Below are 21386 nucleotides of genomic sequence, written 5' to 3'. Positions count from 1 at the left end.
TAAAATAACAATAAATAGTAAATACATAAACCAGTAACATGGTTGTTTATGATCAAGTATTATGTACTCTACATAGCTGTGTGTGCTATTCTTTTATGTAACTGGCAGCACAGGTTTGTTTACGTCAGCATCACCACAAACATGTGAGTAATGTGTTCTGCTACAATATTATGACAGCTATGATGTCACAAAGTGACAGGAAATTTTCAGCTCCATTATAATCTGTTTTCTTTTTATATTCTTTTTTTCTTTGCTCCATTATAATATTATGGGACCACCATCATATATACGGTCTACCATTGTCTTAAACATCATTATACAGTGCATGGCGGTATATTAAAAGGGATTATACGCCATGACTAAGTGAGATTAATTCTTGCAATGCAAGGACGGTTCAACATTTTTAAAAACTGGTGTAATATACCATTTTAACAAAATGAAGGACAAAACCCACACGATTATTTCAATTGACAAAGAAAAAGCACTGAACAAGATTCAACGCCCTTTCATGATAAAAATACTCAACAAACTTAATAGAGGGAAACCACCTCGATATAATAAAGGCTATATATAAAAAGCCCACAGATTACACTCTGAAGGTAAAAGAATGAAAGCCTTTCCTCCAAAATCAGGAACAAGACAAGCACACCCTCACCACTTCTGTTCACTATAGTACCAGCCAGTGAAACTGGGCAAGAAAAAGAAATAAAAAGTATCCAAATTGGAGAAGTAAAATCATCTCTCTTCTCAGATGGCATGACCTTATATGTCGAAAGTCCTAAAGATTCCACAATTAAAAAAAAAAAGAATACATAAATTCAGCAAAGTTGCTGAATACAAAATCAATACTAAAAATCACTTGTGTTTCCATACACTAACAATGAACAATCCAAACAGGAAATTAGGAAAACAGTTCCACTTACAAATAGCATCAAAATGAATGAAAATACTTAGGAATAAATCTAAGCAAGGAGGTAAAAAACTTATACACTAAAAACCACAAAACAGTGATGAAAAAAATTAAAAGACACAAATAAATAGAATGAAATTTCATGTTCATGGGTTAGAAAACATGGTATTATCAAGGTGTCCATGCTACCCAAAGCGATCTACAGATTCAATGTCATCTCTACCAAAATCCCTAAAGCATTAATTTACTATGGTGAACAGTAAAGCAATTCTTCAAAAATTGAAAATAGAACTATCAAATGATCTAGCAATCCCACTTCTGGGTATATGTCCAAAGGGATTGAAAACAGGGTCTTGAAAGGATATTTGCAAGTCCATATTCATATCAGCACTATTCACAATAGCCATGAGATGGTAGCTGCCCAAATATCTATCAATGAATGGATAAGCAATATGTGGTATTCATGCATAAACAAATATTGTTCCACCTTAGAAAGGAAGGAAATCCTGTCACATGCTACAACATGGACGAACCTTATGGATATTATGCTAAGTGAAATAAGCCAGTCACAAAAAGGCAAATACTATTATGATTCCATCCATATGAGAAATCTAATGTCAAATTCATTGAAGCAGAAAATTGAATGGTGGTCATCAGGGGCGGGGGTAGGTGAAATGGGGAGTTGTTATTTAATAAGCGCTATGGTTTGAATATATTCCTCAAAATTTATGTGTTGGAAACTTAATGCCCAAAACATCAGTGTTGAGAGGTGAGGATCTACTGGGAAGTGTTTACGTCAGGAGAGCTCTGCCCTAATGAATGGATTAACGGCATTATAATAAAGGCGTGTGGGACTGGGCTCCCTTTCTCCTGCTCTTCCACCCTGTGGGCACACAACGTTCATCCTGTTTTTGCTCTTCTGCCCTGTGCCATGTGAGGATGCAGCAAGAAAGCCCCTATCAGATGCTTGGACATCCAGCTGCCAGGACTGTGAGAAATAAATTTCTGTTGTTTACAGATTGTGCAGTCTCAGATATTCTGTTGTAACAGCACAAAACAGAGACAATTGGTACTGAGTTTTAGTTTTGCAAGATAAAATATTTCTGGAGAGCTGTTGAAGGACAATGTGAATATACTAATGAACTGTATACTTAAAAATTATTAAGATAATAAATTTTTTATGTTTTCGTCACAGTTTGAGAAATTATATGGGTGGACCAGAAAAAGACTTACTTGAATAGATTTACAAATCTTGTGATATGTAAGGTATTTAAACTATGGTTATTCATTATACCATCTGTAAGCCAATACTTTGTGAAAAATATTTGAATATATCATGTGTTATCATATCGCTGTTATCAGTGGTGAATTTCATTTGCTCTGGGGGACTTAACCATCAACAGTTCCATGAATTTTTTTATTAGAAATAGAGGATTAATATCCTTACTGGCCCTAACACATGGCAATGAATTTTTTTTAATTTTTGAGCTCACGGCTGAGATGAATATTTTCTGAATAAGAACAGCACTCAATCATTGAACAGTTTTGGAAATTACCTTTTGCTGCACATTGTTCATTTTTCTTACTAGAGTCAACCTGAAATTACAAGTCAAAACAGTGCCTATATATGAAACTTACACTACAGTAGTCATTTCAACAACTAATGTTTGAATCATAATGTTAAGCTGCATAAACTTCCTTTGTTGTCAGATATTTTAAAAAGAGATGAGATCTCCATTCCAACACAGATTTGCAGCAGATATGTTTTCTGACTCCAAACTACAGTTCTAGCAGCATTATTTGAATCTCAATGCAAGTGCAAAACAATCTGCTTATTTCAAGATCCATTTGACTTCAATTGAAGAGCTGCCAACTGACCTTCAATTAGAAGTGATTAATCTCCAATAGTGATATACAAAAAGAAATATCAAGAGAAGAATCAAATAGAATTCTGTAAATGCTTTTCAAGTGACAAAGTCATATGCCTGTCTGTGGTGCCACTTACATGAGATACTTAGAATATGCAAATTCATAGAGATAGAAAGTAGACGAGAGACTACCAAGGTCTACAGGGGAGGGAGGAATGGGAAGATATTGTTAAACGGGTACAGAATTGTTTCAGATAATGAAAAATTCTTGAAATTGATAGCGATGATGGTTGTACAGCATTGGGAATATACTTAATGCCACTAAATTGTACATTTATAAATGGCTAAAATGATAAATATTAAGCTATGCATATTTTACCACAATGAAACAAAATCATATGCTCATGGATTGATGTCAACTATTTGACAATACTTAGTGTATAAAAAGACATTTTCAGGCCAGGCATGGTGGCTCATGCCTGTAATCCCAGCACTTTGGGAGGCCAAGGCGTGTGGATCACCTAAGGTCAGCTGTTCAATACCAGCCTGGCCAACATGGTGAAACCCCCATCTGTCTCTATTAAAAATGCAAAAATTAGCTGGGAGTGGTGGGCACCTGCAATCCCAGCTACTTGGGAGGCTGAGGCAAGAGAATTGCTTGAACTTGGGAAGCAGAGGTTGCAGTGAGCCGAGATTGCGCCACTGCACTCCAGCTCGTGTGACAGAGCGAGACTCTGTCTCAAAAAAAAAAAAAAAATTTCAAAGATGAAATATGTAAACTCTCATTACAGATCAGCATTAACAGATAAAAATATGCAATTGATTCTGATGACAGGAAACACTTGGAACCCCAATTAAGTAAAATGATACCCTCAAATTCTAGTTTCCTTATTATTCGATCTACTGCAAAAAGTTTACTCCACATTGGCTGGGCACGGTGGCTCACGCCTGTAATCCCAGCACTTTGGGAGGCCGAGGCAGGCGGATCATGAGATCAGGAGATAGAGACCATCCTGGCTAACACAGTGAAACCCTGTCTCTACTAAAAATACCAAAAAAAAAAAAAAAAAAAAAAAATTAGCCGGGCGTGGTAGCGGGCGCCTGTAGTCCCAGCTACTCGGGAGGCTGAGGCAGGAGAATGGCGTGAACCTTGGAGGCAGAGCTTGCAGTGAGCCGAGATCACGCCACTGCACTCCAGCCTGGGCGACAAAGCAAGACTCCGTCTCAAAAAAAAAAAAAAAAAAAGTTTACTCCACATTAAATTTTGATTTTGTCAACAAAAAAATTTGTGAAAATTTGTTTCGTTTCTTATTATGTAAGTACTGGTATCTTTCACTTTGCTTTTTGGCCTGCAAAACCTAAAATATTTACCATTTGTCCTTTTACAAAAAAGGGTTTGCTGACCTTTGTCATGGACTATAAACATTCCCATAGCTTAAGAAACACCAGACTTCACTAAATTCATCTGGCATTGTCTTCTTTGAGGTTCCTGCCAAGCTCTTGGAAAACCTGCCTACTCTATCTCTACTTCCTGTTTACTTTTAAACTAACAGATCTTGTTTTTAAAGAGCAGTTTTAGGTTTCTGAGTGTACTGAGCAGGAAGTTGAGAATGTTTACATGCCCCATGTCCTACTCCCACCTGCCAGTACCTTCCATTATTAACATCTTTACCAGTGTGGTACATTTGTTACAGTTGTTAACACTGACATACTATGATTAACTAAAGTCTATAGTTTACATTAGGATTCACTCTGTTGTATAGTCTACAGATTTTGACAACATATAATGACATGTATCCACCATGTATCACAGGAAATAATTTCACTGTCCTAAACATTGCCTGTGCTCTGCTCCTCTTTCTCAGAACCCCTGGCAGCTACTGATCTCTTTACTCCAGTTTTTGCTTTTTCCAAAATGTCATTATAGTTGGAATCATATAGTATGTAGCCTTTTCAGGCTGGCTTCTTTCACTGAGCAATGTGCATTTAAGGTGTCTCCATGGTAAAATATAGATCCCTTGCTTAAAACCATTTCCTGTCTCCCTCTTATCTGTGGGATGACATTCAAACTTGCCAGTATAGTTCTAGAACAGCAGGTGACTCCACTTCCAGCTCACTGCAACTTTCCTCACATCATACCTCACCCATACCCTGTAATAGATACACGTCACGACTAAGGCAGCTCGTGTCTCCTCCTTCAACTACTAGGTGTCTGTCTCACAAAAACCTACTCATCCTTCAAAGCTTAACTTTTAGCAGTCACTTCTACAAGGCTTTTCCATATATTTTCTTATCTTAGGATATAATTTACCTATACCAGTGGTTCTCAAATTGTGGTCCCTAAAACTACAGAAAGAGCATCACTTGGGAACATGTTGGAAATACAAATTCTGGGTCAGGAGTTCCAGACCAGCCTGACCAACAAGGAGAAACCCCGTCTCTACTAAAAATACAAAATTAGCTGGGTGTGGTGGCGCATGCCTGTAATCCCAGCTACTTGGGAGGCCGAGGCAGGAGAATCGCTTGAACTTGGGAGGCAGAGGTTGCGGTGAGCCGAGATCACACCATTGCACTCCAGCCTGGGCAACAAGAGTGAAACTCTGTCTCAAAAAAAAAAAAAAAAAAAAGAAAGAAATACAAATTCTGGCCAGGTGTGGTGGGTCACGCCTGTAATCTCAGCACTTTGGGAGGCTGAGGCAGGCAGATCACTTGAGGTCAGGAGTTTGAGACCAGCCAGGCCAACATGGTAAAACCCCGTCTCTACTAATATAAAAATTAGCCAGGTGTGATGGCGTACACCTGTAATCCCAGCTACTAGGGAGGCTGAGGCAGAAGAACTGCTTGAACCCAGGAGGCGGAGGTTGAAGGGAGCTGAGATGGCAGCACTGCACTCCAGCCTGGGCGACAGAGTGAGACTCCATTTCAAAAAAGAGAAAAAAAGCTGTGCGTGGTGGCTCACGCTTGTAATCCCAGCACTTCGGGAGGCCGAGGAGGGTGGATCACCTGAGGTCAGAAGTTCAAGACCAGCCTGGTCAACATGGTGAAACCCCATCTCTACTAAATATACAAAAATTAGCCAGGCATGGTGGCCAGTGCCTGCAATCCCAGCTACTCGGGAGGCTGAGGCAGGAGAATCGCTTGAACCCAGGAGGCAGTAGTTGCAGTGGGCCGAGATCATGCCATTGCGCTCCAGCCTGGGCAACAAGAGTGAAACTTCGTTTCAACAGGAAGGACGGAAGGAAGGAAGGAAGGAAGGAAGGAAGGAAGGAAGATTCTGTGCCACATCAGATCTACTAAATCAGATTCCAGGGATAGAACCTAGGAACCTGAGTTTTAACAAGTCCTGCAAGAGATTCTGATGTGTGCTAAAATTGGAAAGTCAAGTTTCTCTTAGATATCTGACTTTCAGTTTCTTCACAGCAAACACTGTCTTTTCCTAGCCATTTCATATTTTCATGAAAAAATTTCACTTCATTTATATCTTTATCCCCTCTAAATACCAAGCCTCTTCCGACAGTATTTATATTCTTAATCCAAACATAATAAAAAAGTACTTTTTCTTATCTTTTGAATGTTTCAAAAGATTTGGCATATTTTGTCCTACTAAAAAAGTAACAATGGTCCTCATTCATAGGGTGGCAGTAGTAGGGAACTGTGAACTCTTTGCAAAATCACTTTTTACAATTTGTCCTTTCAACGTTTAAGATCATCAGGTGTATTTACATCAGATACATTGCCTTTTGCTTTCTTACAGTGATGATCTGACATTGTCAGATTTTTTTTCTTTTTTTTTGAGACAGAGTCCCGCTCTATAACTCAGGCTGGAGTGCAGTAAGCAGCATGATCTTGGCTCACTGAAACTTCTGCCTCCGGGGTTTAAGCGATTCTGGTGCCTCAGCCCCATGAGTAGCTGGGATTACAGTTATGCACCACCATGCCTGGCTAATTTTTGTATTTTCAGTAGAGACAGAGTTTCTCCATGTTGGTCAGGCTGGTCTTGAACTCCTGGCCTCAAGTGATCTGCCTGCCTCGGCATCCCAAAGTGCTGGGACTACAGGCGTGAGCCACCGCACCTGGCCAAGTTGTCCTGGCCAAAATGTCACAATGAAGAACACTTTCTGGCTTCCTTCCCAAGCTTTGGTTTTTTTTTTTGTTTTTTATTTGAGACGGAGTTTTGCTCTTGTTGCCCAGGCTGGAGTGCAATGGCGTGATCTCAGATCACTGCAACCTCTGCCTCCTGGGTTCAAGCGACTCTCTTGCCTCAGCCTCCCAAGTAGCTGGGATTACATGTGCCCACCACAACACCCAGCTAGTTTTTCTATTTTTTAGTAGAGACAGAGTTTCACCACATTGGCCAGGTTGGACTTGAACTCCTGACATCAGGTGATCTGCCCGCCTCGGCCTCCCAAAGTGCTGGGATTACAGGCGTGAGCCATGCCTTTGGTTTCTGTCAAATTGCCTAACTTCTGCAAAGTGAGTACACTAAAATTTAGGGTGGCCTGTCTTAGAATGCAGAATCCTGGTGAAAATGTATCCTAATTGACACTTTGTTGGAAAATCTTTATTATGGTAAAATATACATAACTTAAAATTTACCAATGGCATTAAGTGTAATCACACTGTTGTGTAACCATCATCACTATCCATCCCCAAAACTTTTGCAAAATGCCAAAATGAAACTCTGTATCCATTAAATAATAACTCTCCATTCTCTTCCCCCAGCCCTTGGTAACCACCATTCTACTTTGTCTCTATAAATTTGACTATTCTAGGTACTGCATGCACGGAAGCAGAATCATCTCATATTTGTCATCTGGTGTCTAGCTTATTTCATTTACAATAGCTTCAGGGTTCATTCATGCTGTAGCATGTGTCAATTTCATGCCTGAATAATAGTCTTGTGTATGTATATACCACATCTTGTTTATCCACTCATCCATGGATGAGCATTTACCTTGTGTCCACCTTCTTTTTATTATATATAATCTTGCTATAAACTTGGTGTTTAAATATCTGTTCAAGCCTCTGCTTTCAATTATTTTGAATATATATCCAGAAGTAAAACTGCATAAGGTAATTCTATGTTTTAAGTTTTTGAAGAATCACCATACTGTCTTCCACAGCAGCTGCATTTTACATTCCTATCACCAGTAAACAAGGATTCCACTTTCTGACATCCTTGCCAACACTTGTATGTACGTATGTATATATGTACATATGTATGTATTGACACAGTCTCAATTTGTCTCCCAGGCTGTAGTGTGGTGGCACGATCTTGGCTCACTGCAACCTCTGCCTCCCAGGTTCAAGCGATTCCCATGCCTCAGCCTCCCAAGTAGCTGGGACTACAGGTGTGCATCACCACACTGGGCTAATTTTTATATTTTTAGTAAAGATGGGGTTCCCCCATGTTGGCCAGGCTGGTCTCAAGCTCCTGACCTCAAGTGACCCGCCTGCCTTGGCCTCCCAAAGTGCTGGCATTACAGGCATGGGCCACCATGTTTATTTTTTAAATAAACATTCTAATAGGTGTTAAGTGGTATCTTACTGTGGTTTTGTATTTCCTTAGAGAGTAGTGATGTTAAGCATCTTTTTATGAGCTTAGGGGCCATTTCTTTATCTTTGGAGAAATAGCTATTTAGGTTCTTTGCTTGCTTTTTTAAAAATAGGGTCTTTTTGGTTTTGTTTTTTGCTGAGTTGAAGGAGTTCCTTATATATTGTGGGTAGCAATCGCTTGTCAGATACACAATTTGCTAATATTTCCTCCCATTCTGGAGATTACCATTTCAATCTGTTGATGCACAAACATTTTTAATTTTGATGAAGTTCAGTTTATTTTTGCTTTTATTGCTTGTGCTTTTGATGTCTTAGCCATATAATCACTGCCAAATCTAATATCATGAAGATTTTCCTGTGTCTTCTTCTAAGAGTTTTATAGTTTTAATTCTTACATTTAAGCCTTTGACCCATTTTGAGTTAAATTTTTTTCTTTTTGAGAGGGAGTCTCACACTGTCACCTGGGCTGGAGTGCAATGGCGTGATCTCGGCTCACTGCAACCTCCACCTCCTGGGTTCAAGCAATTCTCCTGCCTCAGCATCTCGAGTACCTGGGATTACAGGTGCCTGCCACCATGACTGGCTAATTTTTGGTATTTTTAGTACAGATAGGGTTTCACTATGTTGGCCAGGCTGGTCTCGAACTCCTGACCTGGTGATCTGTCCACCTCAGCCTCCCAAAGTGCTGGAATTACAAATGTGAACCACCACGCCCAGCCGAGTTAAATTTTACATATCGTATAAGGTAAGGCTCATACTCATTTTGTTGCATGAGGGTATCCAGTTTTTCAACACCATTTGTTGAAAAGACTGTCCTTCCTCCACTGAGTGGTCTCCGTACGCTTGTCAAAAATCATTGGACTATATGTGAGGGCTTATATTGGGCTCTCCATTCTATCCCATTGGTCTACATGTCTTATGTCAGTATCACAGTTTAGATTACTATAGCTTTGTACTAAGTTTTGAAATCAGAAAGTATGAGAGCTCTCTCTAACTTTGTTCTTTTTATGGTTGTTTTGGCTTTTCATTGTGCCTTCAGATTCCATATCAATTTTAGGATAAGTAGTATTCTTTGACATATAAAAGTTTTATGTTTTTACGTCATTAAATCTATAGTCTTCATTTTGTTATTTTTACCATTTGTGTAAACATTAAAAACCTTCCTTGTTCTCGTATTTGATAAATATTTAATGTTATATTTTTGGGTTTTCTATGGTTTCACGATAACCTCCAAATATTTATCTACAATATATTTTGGTGTTAAGAAGTATGGTATAGAACCACCTTCTTTTTTTTAATGGTAAACCAGTAGTTTTGATACATTTATGAAATAATTCCTATTTTCCTCCATTGATTTAACATGCTACCTTTATCATATGTGAAATCTATTTACAAGTTTGGATCTGTTTTTGTGGTCACGTTCTGTTCCATCAATTTGTGTGCTCCTATACTACTACCACAATGTTCTAATCACTGTGGTTTTAATATATGTTTACATATGGGAATGGGAATGGAATCTCTGATGAATTTTTTTCAGGAACAGTGATCCAAAAGTATGTAATGTAATCTTTAAATTTTTTTAATTTTTTTTTTTTTTTTTTAGACATATTCTCTCTCTGTCGCCCAGGCTGGAGTGCAGTGGGACAATCTCAGCTCACTGCAAGCTCCGCCTCCTGGGTTCATGCCATTCTCCTGCCTCAGCCTCCCGAGTAGCTGGGACTACAAGCTCCTGCCACCACGCCTGGCTAATTTTTTGTATTTTTAGTAGAGACGGGGTTTCACTGTGTTAGCCAGGATAGTCTCCGTCTCCTGACCTCGTGATCCGCCCACCTTGGCCTCCCAAAGTGCTGGGATTACAGGCGGGAGCCACTGCGCCCAGCCAAAATCATTTTTATTGTTACATTTAACTTTTTGATTTAGTAAGAACTGATGTCATAATAAATCTTCCTATCCAGCACATGCAAAATCCCTTGATTATCCAATTAAGTTTTCATATCATTAAATAAAATTTGTAGTTTTCTACATTTTGTTTTGCACATTTTCTCTTTTATTTATTTTACTAGCTTTGTAAATTTGGTATTGTAAATACATTCTTTTCTTTAAATTAGATATTGATGTATTTGGAAGATTTTTTGCTTTTTAGCAACTGGATACTTTACTGAAATCATGAGTTCTAATAATTTTTTGGTTGGTTTCCTTTCCTTTACATTATTATTTTAAAGTGATGAAAATAGGTCTGCCTTTCAATGCTAAACATTTCATTCCAAATTCTCATCATTTTGCTTTAGAATAATGTTAAATAATAGAGGTGACAGTAGGTGGTATCCCTGTCTTGACTTGCCTTTAATTGTGTAACCATATATTAGTAATGTACAATCCAAAAATGAATTTAAGAACATGATTCTATTTTTGACATCATCAAAAAGAATAAAAATACTGTGAAACTAACTTTTCAAAATAAGTACAAAACTTATACCCTGAAAACGAGAAAATATAGCTGAAAGAAATTAAAAAGATCTAAATAAAATGGAAAGACATCTTGTTCATGGATTAGCAGACAATGTTGTTAAGATGCCAAGACTTCTCAAATTAATCCACAGATTCAATGCAGTCCTTAATCAAAATCCCAGCTGGTTTCTTTGCAGAAATTGAAAGGCTGCCCCTGAAATTCATATGAAAATGCCATTGACCCAGAACATATATGGAAAAGAAGGACAAAGTTGGAAGATTCACACTTTGTTTTCAAAATTTACTACAAAGCTACAGTAATGAATCGAGTGTGACACCGGCATAAGGATAGACAAATAGAACAATGGAATGGAACTGAGAATCCAGATATGGACCCTCTTATTTACACTGTATTTATTTTCAACATGGTACCGAAACAATTCAATAGGGAAGGAATAGATTTTTCAACTAATGATGCTGAAACAAATGGGTATCTACAGGTAAAAAATGAGGTTACACTCCTCCAACACTATATATGAAAACTAACTCAAAATGCATCAAAGGCCTAAACATGTTAAGAGGTAAAGGTATTAAACTCTTGAAAGAAAACATACAGATAAATCTTTGTGGATCTGGATTTGGCAAAGTTTTCTTAAACATGATGCAAAACATACAAGCAAAGAAAAAAGCATAAATTGGACTTTATAAAAATTTAAAACCTTTATGCTTCAAAGGATACTATCCAGAAAGTCAACAGACAACTACTGAATGGAGAAAATATTTTCAAATCACATATTGGATAAGGTACATCCATCTTGAATATTTAAAAACAAAACCTCCTACAAAAAACTCAGTAATAAAAAAGATAACTCAATTAAAAATGCTCAATGGATTTAAGTAGACACTTACCAATAAAAGATATCCAAACGGCCAACAAGCACATGAAATGATGTTCAACATTAGTCATCAGGGAAACATGAATGAAAACCATAATGATTGACCACTTCATACTCACTGAGATGACAAAAATTTTAAATCCGTATGTTTTGACCATGATATAAAGAAATCGAAACTTCTGCAGACTGCTGGCAGGACTCAACAACTGTTGAACCACTTTGACAAACAGTCTGGCACTTTAGCAGTTCCACTCTTAGGTATGTAGTCAAGAAAAATGAAAAAATATGTGCATACAAAAATTTGTGGATAAATGTTCATAGCAACACCATTCATAACAGCCAACAAATGCAAACAACCCAAAAGTCTATCAAGTGATATGGGTAAATAAAATGTTATATCTATATTATAGATTATTTGGTAATAAAAAGGAATGAAGTATTGACACATGTGACAACATGAGTGAATTTCAAAAACATAATAAATGAGTCAGCCACGGAACACTACGTATTGTACGAATCTGTTTATATGAAAAGTCCAGATAGGAAAATCTATAAAGACAGAAAGCAGATTAGTGGTTGCCTAGGACTGGAAGTGCTGAATAAAGGTTTGGGCAACTGCTAATGGGTTGGGTTTTTTTTTGGAGAGAGGAGATAAAATGTTCTAAAACTGATTAAGGCGATGGTTGCACAACTCTGTGAATAAAGAAAAAAAAACACTGAATTGCACAGTTAAAATGCTACTTGTATATGTGAATTATATCTCAATAAAGCTGTTACCAAACAAACAAACAAACAAAAAACCCACCACCAGAACAAAAACAAGATATAATCAGGCCTGCTTGGTGCTCTTGGTTTTTGTGTCTCCTAAGTCTCTCTAAGTTTTGGACACTTTACATCCTCCCACCTCCCTATTATTTACGCTATTAACTTGTTGAAGAGTCTAGGTCAGTTAACTATCTCACATTCCTAATTTATTTTGCATGATTCCTTGTGTTGCTATGTAACTTGTTTTCTGGCAGGAATACTTTACAGGTAATTCTGTGTACTGTATCTTCCATACATATGTCTAGTTCCATATGAAAGAGTTCCCTCTGAAACAACTCAATTTCATTCTTTACCAATTTTTAATCTTACACAGTCACGCACTGCATAACATTTCGGTCAACTGACCACATATAACAATGCTGGTCCCATGAGATTATAATGCAGCTAAAAATTCCTATCACTTAGTGATGTTGTAGCTGTTATAATGTCATAGGGCAGTAAATTATTCATGTGTTTGTGACAATGCTGGTGTAAAAAAAAAACTACTGTGCTGCCAGTAGAATAAAAGTATAACACATACATTTGTTATGTACAGTACATACTACTTGATAAAGATAATAAATGACTATGTTACTGGTTACATATTTGCTACACTATACTTTTTATCATTATTTTAGATGTACTCCTTACAGTTATTTTTTTAAAAAAAAGTTAAATGTAAAACAGCCTCAGGCAGGTCCTTCAGCAGGTCTTCCAGGAAAAGGCATTGTTATCATAGGAGCTGATAGCTATATGTGTGTTATTGCCCCGAAGACCTTCCAGTGGAACAAAATGTAGAGGTGGAAGACACTGATATTGATTATCCTGACCCTGTGTAAGCCTAAGCTAACATGTGCGTTTGTGTCTTAGTTTTTAACAGAATAGTCGAGAAAGTAAAAACTAAAATAAAAATTTTTTAAATAGAAAAAAACTTACAGGATATAAAGAAAATATACATATTTTTGTATACCTGTACAATGTATTTATGTTTTAAATGAAGTGTTAATATTACAGAGTCAAAAAGTTAAAAAAACTAAAAAGTTTATAAAGTAAAAAGATTACAGTAAGCTAAGCTTAATTTGTTAATGAAGAAAAAATTTTTTTTTCTAAATTTAGTGTAGTCTAAGTGCATACTGTTTATAAAATTTACTGTAGCCTGCATGTCTTAGACTTTCACACTCACTCACTACTCACTCACTGACTCTCCCAGAGCAACTTCTAGTCGTACAAGCTCCATTCATGGTTAAGTGCTCTATTCAGGTGTACCCCCCACCCCTCCCTTTTTTTTCTTTTGAGACAGTCTCACTCTGTGGCCCAGGCTGGAGTGCAGTGGCGCGATCTTGGCTCACTGCAACCTCTGCCTCCCGTGTTAAAGCAATTCTCTTGCCTCAGCATCCCGAGTAGCTGGGATTACAGATGCCCGCCACCACGCCCAACTAATTTCTGTATTTTTAGTAAAAACGGAGTTTCACATTGGCCAGGCTGGTCTCGAACTCCTGACCTCAGGTAATCGCCTGCCTTGGCCTCCCAAAGTGCTGGGATTACAGGCATGAGCCACTGAGCCTGGCCCAGGTGCACCCTTTTTTATCTGTTATATTGTATCTTTATTGAACATTTTCTATGTTTAGATACCCAAATACTTCACATTGTGTTACAACTGCCTAAGATATTCTGCATAGCAAATGCTGTACAGGATCACAGCCTAGGAACAACAGGCTACCTAATATAGCCTAGGCTGGTAGTAGGCTATATCACCTAGGGTTATGTAAATACACTCTACAATGTTTGCACAAAAAGTCACCTAACAATACATTTCTCAGAATGTGGTCCTATTGTTAAGCAACACATGACTGTACTGTTGAATTCAGTTTGGTACTATTTTGTTGAGGATTTTTGCATCAATATTTATCAAGGTATTAGTCAATAGTTTTTTATTGCGTCTTTGTCTAGCTTTGGTATCAGGGTAATGTAGGCCCCACAGAGTAAGTGTGGAAGTGTTACCTCCCTTTCAATTTTTTCGAAGAATATGAGGAGGATGGGTGTTAATTCTTCTTCAAATGTTTGGTAGAATTCTAAAGTGAAGCTCTCTGGCTTTTCATTGTTGGGAGGTTTGGGTTTTTTTGTAATTAGTGATACTAATCATTGGACTTTTCAGATTTTCTATTTCATCAGGATTCAGTCTTGGAAAGCTGTGTTTTTATAGGAACTTATTCATTTCTTCTATGTGATGCTATCTGTTGGCATGCAATTGTTGATAACATTGTCTTATAAACCTTTTTATTTCTGTGGCATTGCTTGCAAGATCCCTTCTTTCCTTTCTAATTTGAGTTATTCCAGTCTTCTTTCTCCCTTCATCTAGCTAGCGGTTTGTCAATTTTGTTGATACTTTCAAAGAACCAAATCACAGCCAGGCTGTCGATTTTGATTTTGATCTCTCTTCCTTTTTAATGTAAGCATCTACAGCTACAAACTTCCCTCTTAACACTGCATCCTATAAATTTTGGTATGATGTATTTTTTTGTTTCAAGGTATTTGCCAATTTTCCTTGGGATTTCTTCTTTGACCCAATGGTTGCTGTAGAGTGAGTTTTTAAATTTTCACATATTTGTGGATTTTATAGTTATCCTTCCTTGGTTTGAGGTTTCACTTCATTGTGATCAGAAATTTTGTAATGATGTCAATCTTTGAAAATTTATTAAGACTTGTTTTGTGGCCAAACACGTAGTTTATCTGGAGGATGTTCCATGTACACTTGAGAAGAGAAGAATGTATCATCTGCTGTTGTTGGGTAGAGTGTTCTGTATATGTCTGACAGATCGAGTTAATTTATTATGTTGTTCAAGCCCTCTATTTCCTTACTTATATTCTGTCTAGTTATTCTATCTGTTTCTGAAAGTGGGGTATTGAAGTTTCCTAGTAGTATTATGTTACTATTTCTTCAATTCTGTCAATGTTTGCTTTATAATATTTTAGAAGTCTGATGTTTCAGGGCATAAATATTTCTCATTTATATCTTCTTGGTGAATTTACCTTTTTATCATTTATATAGTGTCCTTTGTCTCTTGTAACAGTTTTTGACGTAAAGTATATTTTGTCTTATATTAGTATTACTACTACTAGTCTTTTCTGGAGACCATTGACAAGGATTGTCTTTTTCCATCCTTTCATTTTCAGCTGATACGTGCCTTTAGATCTAAAATGAGTCCCTTGTAGACAGCATACAGTTGGGTGCTGGCTGTTTAAATCCAATCAGCCACTCTAGTTAGTTTTTTGATTTCATCTATTTGCATTTAAAGTAATTACTGATAAAGGAAGGACATACTTTTTTTTTTTTTTTTTGAGACAAAGTTTCGCTCTTGTTGCCCATGCTGGAGCGCAGTGGCACAATCTCACCTCCTGGGTTCAAGCAATTCTCCCGCCTCAGCCTCTGGAGTAGCTGGGATTATAGGCACCCACCACTACGCCCGGCTAATTTTTGTATTTTTAGTAGAGATGGGGTTTCACCATGTTGACCAGGCTGGTCTTGAACTTCTGACCTCAGATAATCCACCTGTCTCAGCCTCCCAAAGTACTGGGATTGGAGGCATGAGGCACCACACTCGGCCAGGAAGGACATACTATTACCATTTTGTTAATTTTTTTCTGTATGTTTTGTAGCTTTTTTGTCCCTCCTTTCCTTTCTTACTGCCTTTGGGTTTCACTGATTTTTGTGTGTGTTACACACTTAGATTCCCTTTTCATTTGCTTTTGTGTATATTCTGTAAGTATTTTCTTTGCAATCAATTACATAAAACATCTTAAAGTTATAACTATTTTACATCAATAATGCCAACTGAATACAATAACTCTGCATCATTATGGCTCCACATTCCCACTTTATGTTACTGATATCACAAATTCTATTTTTTTTGAGACGGAGTCTCACCCTGTTGCCCAGGCTGGAGTGCAATGGCATGATATCAGCTCACTGCAACCTCTGCCTCCCAGGTTCAAGAAATTCTCCTGCCTCGGCCTCAAAAGTAGCTGGGATTACAGGCACGTATGACCATGCCTGGCTAATTTTTATACTTTTAGTAGAGATGGGGTTTCACCATGTTGGCCAGGCTGGTCTCAAACTCCTGACCTCAGGTGATCCACCTACCTTAGCCTCCTAAAGTGCTAGGATTACAGGCGTGAGCCACCGCACCCGGCCACAAATTATATCTTTATATGTTGTATTAACCCCTAACATAGACTTACAGTTTTTTTTAATACTTTTGTCTGTTACATTCTATGCAAGAATTAAAAATCAACTTACATACCAGGATTACAATAATATAGGCTACTTACTATATTTGTCCATTTATTTGCCTTTAACACAGAATGTTATACTTTTATATGGCTTCATGTTGCTGTGTAGTGTGCTTTCATTTCAACCTGAAGGACTCTCTTTAGTAATTTTTATAGGGCAGGTGTAATGGTTACTGAACTCCCTCAACTACTGTTTATCTGAGAAAGTCTTAAGGACGGTTTAGCTGGATATAGTACTCTTGGTTAACAGTTTTGTTGTTTGTTTTTTTTTTTTTTTTGCACTTTGAATGTATCATCCCACTGCCTGTTGGCCTGCAAGGTTTCTGCTGAGAAATCTGCTGAAATTCTTATAGAACTCCCTTGAACGTGACCAGCTGCTTTTCTCTTGTCAATTTAAAAGATTCTCTTTGTATTTTACTTTTGACAATTTGATTATAATGTATGTTAGAGGGGGTGTCTTTAGAATTGTCCTCTCTGGAGTTCCTTGAGTTTCTTGAACTTGTATGCCTATTTCTTTCCTCAAAAAAAGGAAAGTTTGGGATGTTTTCAGCCATTATTTCTACAAATAAGCTCTCTCCTCCTTCTCCTTCTCTCTTCTCATTCCAAGACTTACATTACACATATAGTGGTTCACTTGATGATCTCCCATAAGTCCCTCAGACTGTCGTCACTTTTCTTCGTTTTTTTCTCTTTGCTCCTCTGACATAATTTTATTATTTTGTTAGAACTTTTTGTAGGCACGGGGTCGCACCATGTTGACCAGGCTGGTCTTGAACACCTGGCTTCAAGTGACCCTCCTGCCTTGGCCTCCCAAAGCACTGAGATTACAGGTGTAAGCCACTGTGCCCAGCCTCTGACTCAATTTTAGATTATCTGTCTTCAAGTGTGTTGATGTCTTCTGCGTAATGAAGTCTGCTGTTGACTTTTATAGTTCAGATATTGTATTTTTCAGCTCCAGAATTTATTTGGTTCTTTCTTATAATTTGTATCTTCTAGTTTATACTGTCACTTTGTTCTTGCATCATTTTCCTGACTTTGCTTAGTTTTTTGTGTTCTCTTTCCATTTTTAAATTATCGGTTACAGTTTTTAAATCATATATCACAAAGTTCAGAGATCTGCATTTCTTTAGGGTGAGTTTCTGAAGCTTTGTTTTCTTCTTTGATTTGATCAATGTCCCTGTTCCTTTGTATGCCTTCTGATCCTTTTTTAATGGGTATTTGGGCATTTGAAAAAACAGAAAACAAATACCTTTCTGAGTCTTTACAACTGGCTTCATACAGGGAAACACATTCATGAATCAGCCCAGTTAGAGGTTTTGGGACCATCCAAATTCTTCTGAGACATGTGTCTTCTCTGGGCTTCTATGTGTGTTTCTGACAGTCTTAATTTCCCTAGCAACTTATCGCTGTTTCCTCTCAGAAACCCATAATCGCTGTGTCCCTCAGACCTCTTCCAGCAGAAGTGCAGATCTCCGCAGCTCTTACGTGCTGCAGCAATCACTTCTGTTTCCTGCAGCTTCCAAACTATGCTACCATTCCCTTCAGCACTCTGAGTGAGGTGAGATGCAGACCAGTCCTGTGGGCAGACTTTGGATAAGCCAAAATATTGAACATGCAGTCCATTATTTTGTTTCTGTCCCAAGGGAGACGGTAGGGAATAGGAAATTTCCTCCTGGTTGCACTGCGCTATACCGGCAGGGGAACACACATGCAAAATGCCACAAACTTTTCCACTCCTTTTGAAGGAGTCCCTTCTTTTTAATGTTTTAGCCTGAGTGCTGCAGCTTCTCAACTGGTCTCTATAATTCTCACTAACATGTCCTTGTCATTATATTGCAATTAACTTGGTGTTTCCATGGAGGAATAAGGGCCTGAAACTTCCTACTCCAACATGTTGATGACGTTAGTCTTATAGCCAAATTTTACAATCTTTACTTGTAACACATAGTACCTTCCACCTCAGGTTGTACTGAATTTTTGTATCTCAATTTCTTTGATAATATTCCACCCTTATGTTACTGAATCACACAAGAAAATCAGTCTTATAAGGTATACCCAGTATATCAAATTTACTCCTCAATGGCTTTAGGTGTTTTTAAATATTAAATCCATCCTTAAGTAAATTATAACTGTGATCAAATATACAAAAAAAAAAAAGTCAGAAGTTTCCAAAGGTAATTTCTGAAGAGATTACTTTGCTAAAATATTTTGAGTTATACTAGTATTCTTAGAATAAATAAAATGCTTGCCCAAGTGGTTAACAGAGTCCGATAACAAAAAAAAGATTTTAAGATAAGGTTACATTATTTAAAATTACAAATTTTACATCTTCCTAAAGAGATGTGAATACCTGCTTGCGATGGCCACAAGTATTTAATTAGTTAATCTGGTACTACTTACTCTTCTATTATTATATTTAAAAGCTTATTTATACACCTTAAAATTGTTCTACCTTTATTATTATATAGTAATTAAGTTGAAAACAATATTTTAACTGAAAGGATCTAGGCTTAATAGAAACTGTAAATCCTGAACATGTCAACAGACAACTTTTTATTTACAGATGTTAAAATGAATCCTGAGAAATACACGTGCTAAATATTATTCTCTTGTGTTATTAGACTAATATAAAAACACAGTATTACATGATCCCGATTCCATTATTTTTCTTCAGACAGGGTCTCACTCTGTTGCCCAGGCTGGAGTACAGTGGTACAATCACGGCTCACTGCAGCCTCGACCCCCCCAGGTTCAGGTGATCCTACCACCTCAGCCTCCCAGGGAACTGGGGTTATAGGCGCGTGCCACCAGGCCTGGCTAACTTTTGTATTTTTTGTAGAGATGGGGTGTCACCATGTTGCCAAAGCTGATCTCAAACCCCTAGGCTCAAGCAATCCTCCCACTTCAACCTCCCGAAGTGCAAGGATTACAGGTATGAGCCACCGTGCCCAGCCCTCATCTAGTTCTAACAAATAAAATTTCTCTGCAGAACTTTAATACGGCAGGCCTTCCTAATTGGCAGTTACTTCTAAAATAAGGCTAGATTTAGGGAAATAATTGATGTAGGTACTAAGAGACAAAATTCTAAACAAAGGTGTATTTGTGTCCTATTGCTGCCGTAACAAATACCACAAACTTAACATTTAAACAACACAAATTCATTATTTTACACTTCTGTAGGTTCAGAAGTCTAAAATGGGTCTCAGCCAGCCAAAATCAATGTATATACAGAGCTGTGTTCCTTTCTGGAGGCTAAGGGAGGATCCATTTCCTTGCTTATTCAAGTTGCATGTGGAATCCAGTTTGCTGCAGTTAGAGCACTGAGATTTGTATGTCCTTTGTGACTGTCAGCTGAGGGCAATTCCCAGCTTCCAGAAGATATCTGATGGCTGGGCACGGTGGCTCATGCCTGTAATCCCAGCACTTTGGGAGGCCGAGGCAGGTGGATCACGAGGTCGAGAGATCAAGACTATCCTGGCCAACACAGTGCAACCCCGTCTCTACTAAAAATACAAAAATTAGCTGGGCGTGGTGGCACACACCTGTAGTCTCAGCTACTTGGGAGACTGAGGCAGGAGAATCACTTGAACCCGGGAGGTGGAGGCTGCAGTGAGCCAAGATGGCACCACTGCACTCCAGCCTGGCAACAGAGCAAAACTCCGCCTCAAAAAAAAAAAAGAAAAAAGATTATCTGAATTCCATGTCTCATGGCCCTCTTTCTCCATCTTCAAAAGCCAGCAAGAGGGGGTTGAGTCTCTGACCTACTCTTCTGAATCCTTCTGGTTTAAAAAGTTTGTGTGATTACCAGGACCACCCACATAATCCTGGATAACCTCCCTATTTTAAGGTCAGCTGATTAACAACTTTAATTCCCTTTTGCCATGTGCTATGGTTTGAACGTTTGTTTCCTCCAAAAGTCATGTTGAAACTTAATTCCCAATATGACAGTATTGATAAGTGGGGCCTTTAAGAAGTGACTGGGTCTGGGCACAGTGGCCCACATCTGTAATGACAACACTTTGGGAGGCCAAGGCAGGAGGAATGCTTGAAGCTAAGAGTTCAAGATCATTCTGTGCAATGAAGCCAGGTCTGATCTCTACAAAAATTTTTTTTAAAAATTAGCTGGCAAGGTGGTGTATACCTGTAGACCCTACTCAAAGGGATGAGGCAGGAAGACTACTTGAGGCTAGGAGTTTGGAGGCTGCAGTAAGCAATGACTGGGCCACTGCACTCCAGCCTAGGTGACACAAGGAGACCCCATCTCTAACACAAAAGCTTTTTAAAAAAGAGGTGACTGGGTTATGAGGGATGCCCTCATGAAAGCATTAATTCATCCAAGGGTTCATGGATTAATGGATTATCATGGGAACTGGACTGGTGGCTTTATAAAAGGGAGACAGACCTCAGCTAGCACACTCAGCCCCCAGCCATGTGATACCCTGCATCACCTCTGGACTCTGCAGGAGACCAGGAAGAAGGGCCTCATCAGAGGCAGCCCCTCAAATTTGTTTTTTGTTTTTTTCTTTTGAAACAGAGTCTTGCTCTGTTGCCCAGGCTGGAGTGCAGTGCTGCAATCTTGGCTCACTGCAACCTCCACCTCCCAGATTCAAGCGT

The 21386-nt window shown here is 38.1% G+C and overlaps 2 protein-coding genes across 48 annotated transcripts in view; both read right to left on the bottom strand.

Moving 5' to 3' along the window:
• RANBP2 (RAN binding protein 2) overlaps positions 1-21386 on the bottom strand; it is a 1122820-nt gene that overhangs the window by 1004552 nt on the left and 96882 nt on the right. The window lies entirely within an intron of this gene.
• CCDC138 (coiled-coil domain containing 138) overlaps positions 1-21386 on the bottom strand; it is a 98736-nt gene that overhangs the window by 47736 nt on the left and 29614 nt on the right.

This window comes from Homo sapiens, chromosome 2 (genome assembly GCF_000001405.40).
Source record: "Homo sapiens chromosome 2, GRCh38.p14 Primary Assembly".
In the NCBI taxonomy this organism is placed as follows: domain Eukaryota; kingdom Metazoa; phylum Chordata; class Mammalia; order Primates; family Hominidae; genus Homo; species Homo sapiens.
The sequence above is the reverse complement of the archived record's forward strand: the minus strand, read 5'-3'. Positions and strand labels throughout refer to the sequence as shown.